The sequence below is a fragment of the Homo sapiens genome, chromosome 17, assembly GCF_000001405.40.
Source record: "Homo sapiens chromosome 17, GRCh38.p14 Primary Assembly".
Classification (NCBI taxonomy): Eukaryota; Metazoa; Chordata; class Mammalia; order Primates; family Hominidae; genus Homo; species Homo sapiens.
Genome location: NC_000017.11, coordinates 65130185 through 65145641, shown reverse-complemented (window position 1 = coordinate 65145641; position 15457 = coordinate 65130185). Strand labels below are relative to the sequence as shown.

The following is a 15457-nucleotide window of genomic DNA, read 5'->3' as shown; positions in this document are numbered from 1 at the left end:
GGGCAGATCACTCAAGGTCAGGAGTTCGAGACCAGCCTGGCCAACATGGCAAACCTCATCTCTATTAAAAATATATTAAAAAAAAAAAAAATAGCCAGGAGTGGTGGCAGGCTACAATCCCAGCTACTCAGGAGCTGAGGCAGGAGAATCGCTTGAACCCGGGAGGCAGAGGTTGCACTGAGACGATATCAAGCCACTGCACGCCAGCCTGGTCAACAGAGTGAGACTCAGTCTCAAAAAAGTAAAAATAAGGCTGGGCACAATGGCTCATGCCTGTAATCCCAGCACTTTGGGAAACCAAGGCCGGTGGATCATGAGGTCAGGAGTTTGAGACCAGCCTGGCCAATAAGGTGAAACCCCATCTCTACTAAAAATACAAAAAAATTAGCCAGGCGTGGTGGGGGGCACCTGTAGTCCCAGCTACTCTAGAGGCTGAGGCAGAAGAATCGCTTGAACCCGGGCGGTGGAGGTTGTAGTGAGCCAAGATCTCGCCATTGCACTCCAGCCTGGGCAACAGAGTGAGACTCATTCTCAATAAAAATAAAAAAATAAAATAAAGCGGTGAAATGAGGTCATGGAGTGGACCCTAATCCCCTATGACCAGTGTCTTTATGAGAACAGATTAGGACACAGATAGACACAGAGGGAAGATGATGTGAGAACAGAGAGAAGACGGCCATCTGCGAGCCAAGGAGAGAAGCTTCAGGAGAAGCCAACCGTGCCACACTTTGATCTCAGACTTCCAGCCTCCAGAACTGTCAGCAAAGAAGTTTCTGTTGCTTAAGCCACTCAGTCTATGCATCTTTGTGACGACAGCCCTACAAACTCATACAGACTCTGTGTCCTATATTCAATCAGAAACATCCCTTCCCCTGCACAGAGGGGAGAGAATCTGAACTGTTTCCCAAGTTCTCCAGGGAGTGAGATGCCCTTGCTATTCTGCTGCAAACTTCAGCAGACCTTGCACTCTCCTCCTTGTGTCCTTGGGGGCATGCTCACCCTCAAAGGCCAACACTCTCACTCCCAAACAGACTCTGCTTCCCAGCTCCTCCCAAGACAAAGCATCAGCCCCGCTTCGTTCCCAGGCAACATGTCAGTGCTGCACAACCAGGCCACCGCGGGACCCTGTCTGACCCCGTGTCGGGGAGAAGGGGGTCAGGGTGTCAGCTGCACCTTTCCTCTCTCAGATGCCAATGTGCTGAGGCATGACAGTGGGCGTGCCAGGGAACCCCGACATCACAGAGGGATCAGAAATGAGGGCTTTGATGGCTCTGACATCCCACCCACCACGCCCACGCTGCTCCTCACATTAAGGAGCTGTCACTCACTGCGGAAGATCTCTGGGGCTGGAATTTTCCTTTAAGCTGGAGAAGGCACCCGGGGGAACAATAATAATCGGTACTTTTCTATACAAAGATGGGAAAAGTGACCCAGAACCGCAGAGTTGTTTTTCTAACAGAGGAGGATGTACTCCTGCTAATAAGCCTGGCCACACAGAGTCCAGCCACCCTCCCGCTGTCTCACCCGATGTCTCGCAGACGCTCAGACACTCATGAGGCACCATGCCCTAACCAGTGCTCGGTAGTCTTTCTCCAAAATCTGCTCTTCCCACCGATTCAAAAGCCTGGGAATCGTTCCAGGTGACCCCAGCCAAGATGTGGCCAACTTTTGTTGAATCTGCTTTTGTTTCCTTTTTTTTTTTTTTCAGGCTGGAGTACAGTGGCATGATCATAGCTCACTGTGGCCTCAAACTTCTGGGCATAAGTGATCCTCCCACTTTAGCATCCCATAGCTAAGACTACAGGCATGTGCCACCCTGCCCAGCTAATTTTTTTTTTTTTTTTTTTTGAGACAGAGTCTGGCTCTGTCGCCCAGGCTGGAGTGCAGTGGCACAATCTCGGCTCACTGCAACCTCTGCCTCCTGGGTTCAAGTGATTCTCACACCTCAGCCTCCCTAGTAGCTGGGGCTAGAGGTGCCTGCCAGCATGCCCAGCTCATTTGTGTGTGTGTGTGTGTATTTTTGGTAGAGACAGGGTTTCACCATGTTGCCCAGGCTAGTCTCGAACACCTGGGCTCAAGTGATCCACCCACCTTGGCCTCCCAAAGTGCTGGGATAAAGGCGTGAGCCACCACTCCTGGCCCCCAGCTAATTTTTAAATTTTCTTATAGAGATGGGTCTTGATATGTTGCTCAGTCTGACTGCTTTTGTTTTCAACACATCTCTTCTCTGCCCACTCAATCCTGCCTCCGTGGAACATCTTCTAACCCCCTTCCTGGACTATCAGGTTCTGCCTTTGAGCTGGCATCTGTCTCCAGCCTCCGGGGTGCTCCTTAGCCCAGGGCTCTCAACAGTGGCCCCATCAACGCTTGGAGCTGGATCATTCTTTGGGGGTTGGTGAGGGCGGCTGTCCTGTGTGTTGTAGGATGTTTAGCAGCATTCATGTCCTCCACCCACTAGATGCCAGGAGCACCCCCAGTTATGACAACCTAAAATGTATTTAGACATTGCCAAATGTCCCCAGAGGCTCTCATCCTGACTGCACATTCAAACCACCTGGAAAACTTTTCAAAAAGAGCAATGGTTAAGCCTGGCATGATGGCAGGCACCTGTAAATGAAATTACTCAGGAAGCCAAGGTGAGAGGATCCCTTGAGCCCAGGAGCTTGAGTCCAGCCTGGGCAATATAGTGAAAACCCATCTCTAAAAAAAGAAATTGTTAAAAAAGAAAAAAAAAGAAAGAAAGAAACAAAAAGAAAACCAGGCCAGGCTTTGTGGTTTACACCTGCAATCCCAGCACTTTAGGAGGCAGGGCAGGTGGGGCACCTGAGGTCAGGAGTTTGAGACCAGCCTGACCAACATGGTGAAACCCCGTCTCTACTAAAAACACAAAAATTAGCCAGGCATGGTAGCAGGTCCCAGTATCCCCAGCTACTTGGGAGGCTGAGGCAGGAGAATCACTTGAACCCGGGAGGCAGAGGTTACCGTTAGCCGAGATCTCGCCACTGTACTCCAGCCTGAGCAACAGAGACAGGCTCTGTCTCAAAAACAAACAAAAAAAAAAAAAAAAGAAAGGAAGGGAGAAAAACAGTGGCATAAAAAGACCAATGCTTAAGCCTCACTTCCAGGCCAAGTAAATCAGAAACTCAAAGTAGAGTGAGTTGATATTAATGTTTTTTAAAGTGCAGCCCAGGTTGAGAATTACTCATTCCCTCTCACCAGAATCATCTTTCTAGCATATAAACCAACTCATCTTATTCATCCCTGATTTTAAAACGTCAAACAGCTTCTCATTAAACACAGAAGCCATCAAACTCTGTAGCATGACCTAGGAAGCCCTCCAGTTCTGGGCTTTTCTTTTTGTTTGTTTGTTTTTGGTTTTTGGTTTTTGGGTTTTTTTTGAGACTGAGTCTTGCTCTGTCACCCAGGCTGGAGTGCGGTGGCATGATCTCAGCTCACTGCAGCCTCCGCCTCCTGGGTTCAAGCAATTCTCCTGCCTCAGCCTCCCAAGTAGCTAGGATTACAGGCGCATGCCAGCATGCCTGGCTAATTTGTGTATTTTTGGTTTCACCATGTTAGCCAGGCTGGTCTTGAACTCCTGACCTAGTGATCCGTCCACCTCAGCCTCCCAAAGTACTGGGATTACAGGCATGTGCCACTGCACCCAGCAGATCTGGGCCTTTCTTACCTACCAGTCTTCTCCATCAACGCCAAACTCACTTCCTGTACACTTGGGGCCAGCTCTCCCAACCCGCAGGCAATCTCCCAAACCACCATGCTACTTCACATGTCCCTGTTTTGTATTGCCTAAAATGTCACTCATTTCCTCAACCTCCTGGCCAAAAACTACTGACTTTTTATAATTCGACTCCATTGCAAGCCCCCTTGTAAAATCTGTCCTGATCCCCCCTGACCCCAGGTAGAACTGACCACTCCCTGCTTGGTGTCACATGTATCCTCCAACAATGTCTGCCACAGCCTATGGAACACTTCTTGTCTCCTTGTTTATACATCTGTCTTTCTCCACTAGACTCTAAGCTCCTTGGTGCTCCCAGCACCTGGCACAGCATCTAGCCCATAAGTACCCAATTATATGTCTGTATTGAATGAAAGAATGTTACAAGCAAGAGATACCAAACTCGGCCTGGATATCCTCAATATTTCTGCTTCTGCATTCCTTTCTCAGGCAAAAAGAGATGCCAGAAGCCGCACAGGAAAACAAAGCTGTCACCAGAAGGCTTCTCCAAGAAAGTCCAAGAAATTCGCCCATGGTGAATCCCAAGGGCGGTGGTGGTACTGGCTGGGATGGTGATCTGGTAATTGCAGAGGGGAATGGGCCATCCCCAGAACAAGAGTCCATGGGTGCTGGAACCACAGGAGGCCACCCACCTGTGTTCATCTGTCCACTGTGTGCCATCAGCTAATTCCCCAGCAAAGCCATGAACAGATGGGCCTTCTGCCTCTTTCTACCACATCTGAAACGAGCCCAGGCATCAGAGGTGGGAAGCAGCATGGCCGGCGGGCATCCCGACCCACAGCTGCATTGAGACTGAGATGGAGGCATGGGTGTGAGAACCTCGGGAATCGCACACGGTCCTTTCTGACCAGTATGGCTCTCCATGGCCCCATGACAGTTGTCATTTCTCAAGAGGTTGGAGCTGCAGGGGCACAGGAGGATCCTGAGTGAACTCTCTTAGTTCAGGGAGAAGGCATTCCACCCATTCCTCTGGCTCACACCAGTGGTCCTTTTTTTTTTTTTAGACAGAGTCTCTCTCTGTCACACAGGCTAGAGTGTAGTGTAGTGGCAAGAACTTGTGAACTCAGTTACTGCAACCTCCACCTCCCGGGTTCAAGCAATTCTCCTGCCTCAGCCTCCCAAGTAGCTGGGATTACAGGTGCTCACCACCACGCCCTGCTAATTTTTATATTTTTAATAGTCAGAGGGTTTTGCCATGTTGGCCAGGCTGGTCTCAAACTCCTGATCTCAGATGATCCACCTACCTTGGCCTCCCAAACTGCTGGGATTACAGGCATGAGCCACTGCAACTGGCCCACCAGTGATCTTCTTAATTTGCAAATCTGCCATATCACTTGCCCATTCCAATTTCTATAGTGGCTCCGTATGAGATAAAACCAAACCTTTAAAAGGTCTTGAAGGCCCATAGGCACCCACTACCTCTGCCTTTCCTTTCCAGCTTCCCACTCCCCTTGCACTTCAAAATCCATCCATTACAGAACATGGCCCCAAACCCACTAGCTTTCCCATGCCTCTGTGCGTAAACTGTTCCCTCTGCCTGAAACATCTTTCCCTTTCTGCCTGGAAACCCTATGTATCCTTCAGGTCTCAGCTCTGTGTCCCTAAGCACACTGAGCCAGGCTTTCCCACAGCCTCCACACTCTGCCCTACGTCATGGGAAAGCTCAGGGCATTGCACCACAACTTGTGACAGACAACGACCACTCCTGTATTTCTTCTTGGTTTCACCACCTAGTGCTGCGTGACTGGCAAGCCGCTTAGCCTCTCTGAGCCTCAGCTTTCTTCTCTGTAAAATGGTGGCCATAACCTCCAGCTAATGAAATAGATGAGATAATGCACATAATGCCCACCCCTCCACACCATCATGGACACCGTGTACTTCATCACATGCATGGAACGAGTGATGAGTGACAGTTGCACCCAGGTCCACATTTTTTTGTTCCAGGCCCTTCTCCAGAAAGCTGAACATCGAATGTAGCTGGTTCTTCATTAAGGATCGCCTGGCATGGGCTCTTGAGACCTGTTCTGCAGACCTTTATTCTGTCTGCTGCTCCAAGGAGCTCTGTGACATGACCAATACATACATAGATATAGAGGATACATAGACAGGGCCCTTGCCAGCACAAGGTCTAGGGAAAGAGCAATGCTGGAGGTGTGGCAAGGTCTGTAGTGCACAGAGAAGGGAGCTGTCCTGCCCAGGGGCATTAGGAGAACCAGCCTTCACAGCCGAGGGGTGACTGAGCTGGGCATGGGAAGAGAAGTGGAGCTTGGCAAGCGAGAGGGGGAGAAAGGACTTTCCCAGCAGACGGACCCTGAGGCATGAAAGGGCACCGGGTTCCTAAAAAGGAAGGAAGTGTTTGAGGCAGGAGCCCAGGGGTGCCTGTGGCTGCTTTGTTGTTTCCCAGAGGGCAGGTGTGGAAGGCAGGCAGGAGGCAAAGCCAGGAAGATGGTGGGAGCGGAATCCTGGGTAACCAGGCTGCTCAGGGGAAGGTTGGACTTTATGCTGGGAATGTGGGAAGCCAGTGGAGCGTTTCAGGTCAAGGAGGTCACCATTGATTTGGGGGAAAAAAACAGTGTGTGTAGGAAAGCTGTCATGGAGGAGGGGAGACCGGGGTGGAAGATGGGGAGCTGGGATGCAGGAGGGGGAGGTTAGGGTAGAGGAGAGGTAAGTTAGGATGGAGGAGGAGAAGGCTGGGGAGGAGGAGGAGGATGGGGTAGAGGAAGGGGAAGACAGGGTGGAGGAAGAGGACCTGGGGTGGAGGAGGGAAAGGTGGGGTGGAGGGGGGAGAGCTGGGGTGGAGGAGGGGAGCTGGAATGGAGGAGGGAGAGGTTAGGGTGGAGGAAGGGAGACTAAGGTGGAGGAGGGAGAGTTTGGGTGGAGGAGGGGATGCTGGGGTGGAGGAGGGGATGCTGGGGTGGAGGAGGGGTGGCTGGGGAGGAGGAGGGAAGCCTGGGGTGGAGGAGAGAAACTAGAGACCAAGACACTAGTCAGAAGACCAAGGTAAGGAGAGGAGAATCTACCAGAGAAGAGTCATGATGGAAAAGAATGCCAGAGATTCAATAAACAAACTGAATTTATCTCTTGACAATTACCCTCTGAGCCCCCAAGCCAGAGCTGTCCTGCCTGGGAGGAGACAGTCCTAGGATAAATCCTGGAAGATGATGTGTGGCTTTGAGATAGCCGACTTAGGCAGTTTCTTCTGCTTTTAGTAACTGGTATCTGCAATACAGGCTCTCAGGGTTCTTTCTGAGTGAGACAACATTCAGCCTGTCTGCTTTACAGATGATACCCACACCTCTGCTACCCGGAAGATGAGCACGAGCATCTTGAAACAGGTGGACCAAATGCGACCGTCTCGGGGTCCCCAGGACTGTCCAGGTTTTAGCATTGAAAGTCCTGGGCAAATCAGGACAGCGGTCACTGACTATACAAATTTGCTGAGCTCCAGGGGCTCAGGGAGAGCTCAGCTTGTCACAAAACATTCAACTAATTCTACTCAACAAGATAAGCCTAAGAAGATGGACACTACGCTGTGAAAAGTGGCTACGGGTGGGAGGAAGGACAAAGATGTGACCCGGGACCTAATCCTCTGTAGATCTCATCGGACAGTGATTATACCAGAAGCTCAGAACTAAATGAACCACTTTGTCCCCAAACACATCACCCCACAGGTGCATTCCACCTCCCACATGTCCATCCTGTGTGCACACCCTGTGCCCGGTCACTTTGTCTGGGAAAGCATTCGCAAGGGAAGCGAAAAGGTTGGGACTTCTGCCGCCAGCGCAGACAGCAGGAGATGCACAGATAGACACACTCAAATGAGGGCTCTCAGGGCATTGTAAATGGGGTGGCCCTTTATCCTACAAATCACCCCGTTTTCATGGTCTATGTGTACACACACACACACTTTAAAATAGTGCAGTTTGGGATCAGAAAAAAAAGGCAAAAATGGCAATGTCACATCTGGTCGTCTTACAACAATATCAGCAGGCTGTCTCAAATCTGCCACAGCCTGAACTGAACCTGCCTCTCCCGAGTAACAGGTTGTTTTCACCTCCCGCAGACCATCAGCGCTGGCTTCAGATTCTCCACTACAGGCAGGGCACACGAAAACCTAATTATTATAGCCATCAATATCGACACACACAGCAAAGAAGTCACTTAATAAAATCGAGCAGCACAAATCGACCCAAAGGGGTGCTCTCCACTCCTGCCCCTCTTGTCCTCGGACGCTTCGCAGATGCGGTCCCCCGCCCTCCTCCCAGGGTCCAGGTGAGGGGCCAGGGTTACCTTTTGGAGAAATGCCATCCTCGGCCTGTACTGCTGGCCTTGGTGTCGGATTGTCATCCTGGCCCCTGGATGGATTCACAGCCAGAGCACCAGTGGGAGACAAGAGGAGAAGCCCCCCAAGTTCGAAAGGCAGCCTGGCTCGCCCCAGCCCTGGGCGTCGACGGGGAGGCGGCTGGGCGGGGAGGGCGCGGGCCGGGCCCCCCTGACTCTCACTAGGCGCCGCTGACTTGGAAAGCAGCTGGAATCCGCGCCAGCCAATCCGCGAGCGGCGCCGCGGGCTCATTAGCATGCGCTGCGCGGGCGCCCACCTGCCGCCAGGGGGCGCTATCCGGCCCCCGCCGGGACCCCGCGGAGCAGCAGGTGAGACCCGCAGGGCAGGGCCCCGGGAGGAGAAGGAGGAGGAGGACCTGGCGGGAGGAGGAGGAGGACCTAGCGGGAGGAGGAGGAGGACCTGTCGAGAGCAGCGAGCCTTTTAACTTGGGGCGGAGTTATGCACAGAAGTGACACAAAGAGCCCTCACTAATACAGCGCGGTGGAAAATACGGACTTTCCCATCCCAGCTCTGCCACTAACCAGCCGGCAGCCTTGGGCAAGTTCCTTACAATCTCTAAGAATCAATGTCCTTCACTCAAAAGTAAAAATTGAAAAATGGGATCATAATATCGACCAGAAAAGGTTGCTATACCATTTTAATGAGGAGATGTGTAACACAGTGCTTGGCCCTCAATAAATGCTTAGAAAAAAAAATTAGAGGTGGCGATTTAATGACCCAATAGCAGAGGAATTGCTAAGATGTGGGTTTAAAAAGAGAGAGCAAAGAAGTGAAGAAGGAAGAGAGGAAGGTTGTAGTCCTCACCGGGCTAGCTGTCTGGATGAAGCGAATTATATTTTACTTCTCTGATTCTTAGTGTTTCGGTTAGTTGGTTGTTGGGTTTGTTGTTGTTTAACTTTTTTTTTGAGACAGGGTCTTGCTCTGTCACCCAGGCTGGAGTGCAGTGGCGTAATCATGGCTCATTGCAGCTACAACCTCCCAGGCTCAAACAATCCTCCCACCTCAGCCTCCCCAGTAGCTGGGGCTACAGGCACGTGCCACCACACCCCGCTAATTTTTACAAAAATTGTTTGTGGAGAGGGAGTTTCACAAACTCCTGGGCTCAATCGATCTACCCACCTCGGCCTCCCAAAGTGCTGGAATTACAGGAGTGAGCCACTGCAGCTGGCTGGTTTGCTTGTTTTAATAGACTTTATTTCTTAGAGCAGTTTTAGGTTCACAGCACAATTGAGCGGAAGGTATAGGGACACGTCATATATCCCCTCTCCCCACGCACGCACAGCGTCCCCCATGATCAACATCCTCCACTGGAGTGGCCCATTTGTTACAATTGATGAACCTACCTTGACAGCTCATTATGTTAGCGTTTTCATCTTGAGAAAAATGCAAGGATGAAGCCTCTAAGTTATTATCAAGAGCCTTTCTGCTTTGTTATATAAAGCACTTTCTCTTAAACATACTCGATGGTTATTGAGTGTAGCAGATAAAATGTTTAAGTTGGAAGAAAACAAGAAGGCCTTTACCTTAGGAAGGCACAGTCAACCAATGTCCCTTTAAAGCAGTGGTTCTTGGCTGGGTGTGATGGCTCACGCCTATAATTCCAGCACTTTGGGAGGCCCAAGCGGGTGAATCACTTGAAGTCAGGAGTTCAAGACCAGCCTGGCCAACATGGCAAAACCCTATCTCTATTAAAAATACAGAAATCAATCAGCATGGTGGAGCAACCTGTAATCCCAGCTACTCAGGAGGCTGAGGCACAAGAATCACTTGAACCCAGAGGCTGCAGTGAGCCAAGACTGAGCCACTGCATTCCAGCCTGGGTGACAGAGTGAGACTCTGTCTCAAAAAAAAAAAAAAGCAGTGGTTCTTATCCATTCTCTCGGGTGATATTTACCTGTAAGAATCTGATGAAAGCTATGGACACTCAGGAACACACACACATGCACATGTACACAACACTGACTGAAGTTTGCAAACAATTTCAAGAGGTTCATGCTTGGGCCTCTCTTGTGCCTTTTCAGGAATCCCTGATTCAGAGCCTCCAATTTAGAGGACGCTGGACCCTGCAGAGATCCATCCAAGCAGAAGACCAGAGATCCTGCCAAGCAAATTGAACCACTGAGAAGTATGCTCCTGGTGTGAGCTGAGATCCAAAGAAAATGCTGGAATATCTTGATTTTTTTTCTCATGAAGCATCTTTTGAGCCTGGTGTGAGTTTAAATCCAAAGAAAATGCTGGAATATCTTGATTTTTTTTCTCATGAAGCATCTTTTGAGCCTAGTGTTATACAGAGCACATGCTGGGATCTGACCAAGATGAGCTATGAAGTTCCTTCCAGCTTCAACATCCCTTGTCTCTAGAAACCCTAAGCATCAAGAAGATAAGTGGCTTTCCTAAAATGAAGGATGAGAAAAATTATTCAGGAGCAAAGAGAGGCAAAAATAAAAGGCACTTTGCTCATTAATAGAATAGGAGAGGCCTCAGTGCCTGCCACTCTCCTCCCCACCCCTTCTGTCAGGCCCTGCTCTCCAAGCAACTACATTTTGTGGGACCCATCTTTGCTCATTGGACCAGAGGCCAGTTCCCCACATGATAGGACCATGATGTGGATCTGAAAAACGGAGAGGAGCTTGTTAGATTATTACCTTCACAAATGCCAACTTGAGTCAGATAAAGTCAGGGCCACAGGAAGCTGAGACCAAATGCAAGCTGAAGTTATGAGGAAGGAGAAATGAAAGGTGAGCAGAGGAAGCTGATCAGAAAAGGGAGGCAAACAGGCTGGGCGCGGAGGCTCACGCCTGTAATCCCAGCACTTTGGGGGGCCGAAGCGGGCGGATCACCTGAGGTCAGGAGTTCGAGACCAGCATGGTCAACATGGCGAAACCCCATCTCTACTAAAAATACAAAAAAATTAGCCGGGCATGCTGGCGCATGCCTGTAATCCCAGCTACTCGAGAAGCTGAGGCAGGAGAATCGCTTGAACCTGGGAGGCAGAGGTTGCATTGAGCTGAGATTTGCACTCCAGCCTGGGCAATAGAGCGAGACTCTGTCTCAAAAAATATACATATAAAAGAAAAGAAAAAAAGGGAAGCAACAAGCTGAACAGAGAGCAGCAGAGGGGCCATGACACAGACAAGCCCCTCGGACTAAGTTGGGTCAGTGCCTTACCAAGGGCAAGGGTATCTTCTGGAATCCTCCCACATATCTGAGTCTTTGTTTCTTGCAACTGAAAGAGCCTGTCATATAATATGGTATTCAAAGTTTCATGCCAGTGTCCTAGGGGAAAAAATTGATTTAATTCATCGATTTATTTAATCAACAAACATATTGTTTGCCAGCCATTTTGCTAGAGTCTGGAATTCAAAGCAGAATATGACTCAGTCCTTTCTATGAGAATAAGACCAGAAAAATACAAATATAAAAAAGAAAAAAAGAATATGACCCAGTTCCTGTCTCAAAGAGCTCAGAGTTTAAAGTGGAAAAAGAATATTTAGACAAAAATGTTATAAAATAAAATCTATGTGTGATGAAGATGTAGTCAATGCAATACAGGATTTTGTGGAAAGGCACCTCACCCATCCTGAATGGAAGAGAAGATCAGGAAGGCTTCCTGGAAGAGGAGTCTTAAAAGAAGATAGGAAGTTAACCAGGTGTAGGGGCAAGCTAAGTTTCCTCACAGGGAACAGCACAAGAAAAGGTGCAGAGGCAAGGATTAGCATAATTTGAGGGTGGTGACTAGGAGTTTGTTGGACACAAGGTCAAGAAGTTTAGAGGGGTCGGGCATGGTGACTCATGCTTGTAATCCCAGCACTTTGGGGGGCCGAGGCGGGAGAATCACCTGAGATCAGGAGTTTGAGACCAGCCTGGCCAACATGGTGAAACCCCTGTCTCTACCAAAAATACAAAAAATAGCTGGATGTGGTGGCAGGCACCTGTAATCCCAGCTACTTGGGAGGCTGAATGAGGCAGGAGAATCACTTGAACCCGGGAGGCCAAGGTAAGCCGAGATCACACCACTGCACTCCAGCCTGGGCGACAGAGCGAGAATCTATCTCAAAAAGAAAAGAAAAGAAAAGAAATTTGGAGGGTTTGGGTCAGGGATTAAATGGAAAGGGACATAAACCTTTTAATTGAGGTAAAGTTTATATTCAAGGTACAGTTTACATACAATTACATGCTCTAATTTTAAGAATAGTTGGATGAGTTTTGGCAAACTTATTTCCCTGTTTACCAGCACTCCCATCAAGATAGAAACCCAGGTTTGAACTCCTGAGCTCAAGCGATCCACTCACCTCGGCTTCCCAAAGTGCCGAGATTACAGGCGCGAGCCACTGCACCTGGCCTACTACCTTCTTAAGAGCCTTTCAAGAAGAGCCCCTCACCTTCTTTCTAACAGACTTGTCCAAAATTTCCCAGTCATGGATCAATCAATCCCATACCCAGGTAGACACAGCCAGAATTTATTTATTTATTTATTTATTTATTTATTTGTTTGTTTGTTTGTTTGCTTATGTATTTATTTATTTATTTTGAGATGGAGTCTCTCTCTGTTGCCCAGGCTGTAGTGCAGTGGTGCAATCTTGGCTCACTGTCATCTCAGTGCTTTGGAAGGTTGAGTCGGGTGGGTCACTTGAGGCCTGGAGTTTCAGACCCAACCTGGATAACATAGTCAGATCCTGTCTCTACAAAACGTTTTAAAAATTAGCCAGGCATGGTGGTGCGTACCTGTAGTCCCAGCTACTGGAGAGGCTGAGGCAGGAGGATCACTTGAGCTCAGGATCACTACTGTACTCCAGCCTGGGTGACAGAGTGAGACCCTGTCTCCAAAAAAAAACAAAAACTGAGGCCAGGCACAGTGGCTGATGCCTGTTATACTACCAGCACTTTGGGAGGCCAAGGCAGGTGGATCACTTGAGATCAGGAGTTCAAGACCAACCTGGCCAACATGGTAAAACCCCATCTCTACTAAAAATACAAAAATTAGCTGGGCATGGTGGCAGATGCCTATAATCCCAGCTACCTAGGAGGCTGAGGCAGGAGAATCGCTTGAACCCAGGAGGCAGAGGTTGCAGTCAGCCAAAATCGTGCCACTGCACTCCAGCCTGGGTGACAGAGTGAGACTCTGTCTCAAAAAAAAAAAAAGGACCAAAAAAACAAATATTACCTTGCAATAAACCAGTACTAAAATTAAATCCTCCTGTGACTCTGACTGAGTCAGTAAATGGACATTCCATTATCATCAACATCATCATCAGTTTTGTGACCAGTATCCTCTGCATCAATATCAACAAAAGAGTGTGATTCAGACCCTAAGCGGACTCATGCTGCCCTGGGTATTGTACAACATGATCTACATAGTCCTGGACCTTGTTCCCTGTAGGCTAAAACCTCATCTCGGTACAATCATGTGTTCATCCAGACAGCACACGCAAGCAGCAGTGCCCTTTAAAATCCAGGTCTAAGATCATCTCAATAAAATGTCGCAACACCCCTAGTCAACCCAACAATTTAGTTCAGTCCAAGCGCTGCACTAAAGCTTAAAAGGACATGTTCCCTGCCTTTGTGCCCCTCTCAAAGTCTGGAAAAAGAGACAGAAACTTAAACAGTTCATTTCAACAGGATGGATGTTTCAGACCGCTGCCAGGCCAAGACTTCCATGAAGGGACTTCTTAGAAGTGGGGCAGGGTTAAAGGAGCCACTAAGGGATGTTAAAGATCCCAGGTAATATAATAGCAACCGTGGAAAGCTATTATGCATTATCTAGGCATTTAAGGATGGAGAGCCAGGGCCCTGCTGGGGGGGTCTGTCATCTTGGAAGGAGAAAACCTGAGGGAATACATATCCTGGCTCTCTCTCCTCCTGCCCTCCATCTCCTGTTTCCTCCCGGTGTTCAGTCTTGACCCAAATCCAGAGGGCAATGGGTCTGCAGTCTTTTAGAGTTAGCCTCCTGGAGCACAGAAGTCAGGCAGAGAAGGGCAAAAATTCTGGTGGCTGGGAGGGACACAGGGGAGGCACAGTGTGAAGAGGCAGCGTGTGGTTTAAATGTCTATGGTAGTGCGCACACCCAGATCTCGGTCTCAGAGTTCATCCACTGTCCCCCAGCACTTTGAACAACTCAGGTACAGCACCTCCCACACGTGCACAAAGAGACATCTCCCTGACCTGGACAGAAATGGTGTCGGGTTCATCTGACTCCCAGAGTCACTGCCCATCCTTTACCCTTGCTTACATTTCATCTAATTGTCTTGTTTGAAATTATGATACGTGTATATTACATCTGCAATTCTAAAAAAATCATACAGACAGAAAAACCTTCAGTTGCATGAATGTTTCTTCTTAGGTCCTTTTAGGCAATACAGCATGAAGACATACTCTGGTGGGAAACCAAAGGGCCTCATTTTCCACACTGAGCATATCGAGCCAGCTGGGCAGAGTCTCTATGCTCCTCATGGGTCAGCCCAAGTTCAACAATAAAGGGAAGTGATGGTTGGACACACCAACCTTTATCTCTGCACTTCCACATGCTCCACAAAGAAGCTATGTTGGACCTCCGGAAGCTGGCCACACCTCGTGGCCCTGGGTGTTTGATCAGGGAAAGAAGGAGAAAAAGAAGAGTTGGTACTTCCTAGAAGGCTTCCTGCATCTTCCTCATCTAGGGGTTGTACGGAAACTATTTCGACCTAGTGGGGACCACCAGCTACCACCACAAACCACAGTCCTATAATAGAAACCTGGTTCCTCTCAATTTTTTTATCCTAAATTAAATTCACTTGATGCATCCAGAAAAGATATTTTGCACATGCATTGCTCAAGATGAACACAGGAAAAAAGAAAAAAAATCACACCTTTCTCTGTTCCCCACCCCTTCCCAATTCTGTAGGGTACAATTCCATCTAAGGACCGGGTCAGATTGGAACTGTTGAAGGGCATTTGCTACTTGTTTTAAGGGTGTTATTATTTTTTATTATAGAAAATTTATAAATACAGAGTTTTAAAAAAATGACAATATGGGTAAAGGTACTTTTATGACTTAGAATAAGCTTTGGTTTTAAGACAGTGCTGGGGTTAGGGCGGTGTGAAGACCACGAAGCACAAGATGTGTGTTCTTATCCCTCCTCTGCTTCTGACCAGATAGGGGCCTTTTGTTCACAGCTTCATCGAGTATAATTGGTATACAATAAACTGCACATATTTAAAGTGTATAATTTGATACGTTTTGGCATATATATACACCCATGAAACTATACACACAATCAAGATAGGGAACCTATCCATCATCTTCCAGAACTTCTTTGCACCACCTTCTGACCTTCACCTCCTCCCCCTACACTGTACCCACACAACAACTGACCTGCTTTCTG

General features: G+C 48.6%; 1 protein-coding gene across 3 annotated transcripts in view, besides 1 other annotated feature; it reads right to left on the bottom strand.

The window, feature by feature from the left end:
- RGS9 (regulator of G protein signaling 9) overlaps positions 1-8272 on the bottom strand; it is a 90334-nt gene extending 82062 nt beyond the window's left edge. For all 3 annotated transcript variants that reach the window (NM_003835.4, NM_001081955.3, NM_001165933.2), the window contains exon 1: positions 8045-8272. In NM_003835.4, the coding sequence (NP_003826.2) occupies positions 8045-8101 (57 nt within the window). In that variant the 5' untranslated portion in view covers positions 8102-8272. The remainder of the gene's footprint in view (positions 1-8044) is intronic.
- Positions 8083-8582: a silencer, noted in NCBI's record as "silent region_8861". NCBI's record gives its function as "represses an Ori minimal core promoter by ATAC-STARR-seq in GM12878 lymphoblastoid cells {active_cell/tissue: GM12878}" and the evidence as "EXISTENCE:reporter gene assay evidence [ECO:0000049][PMID:35858748]".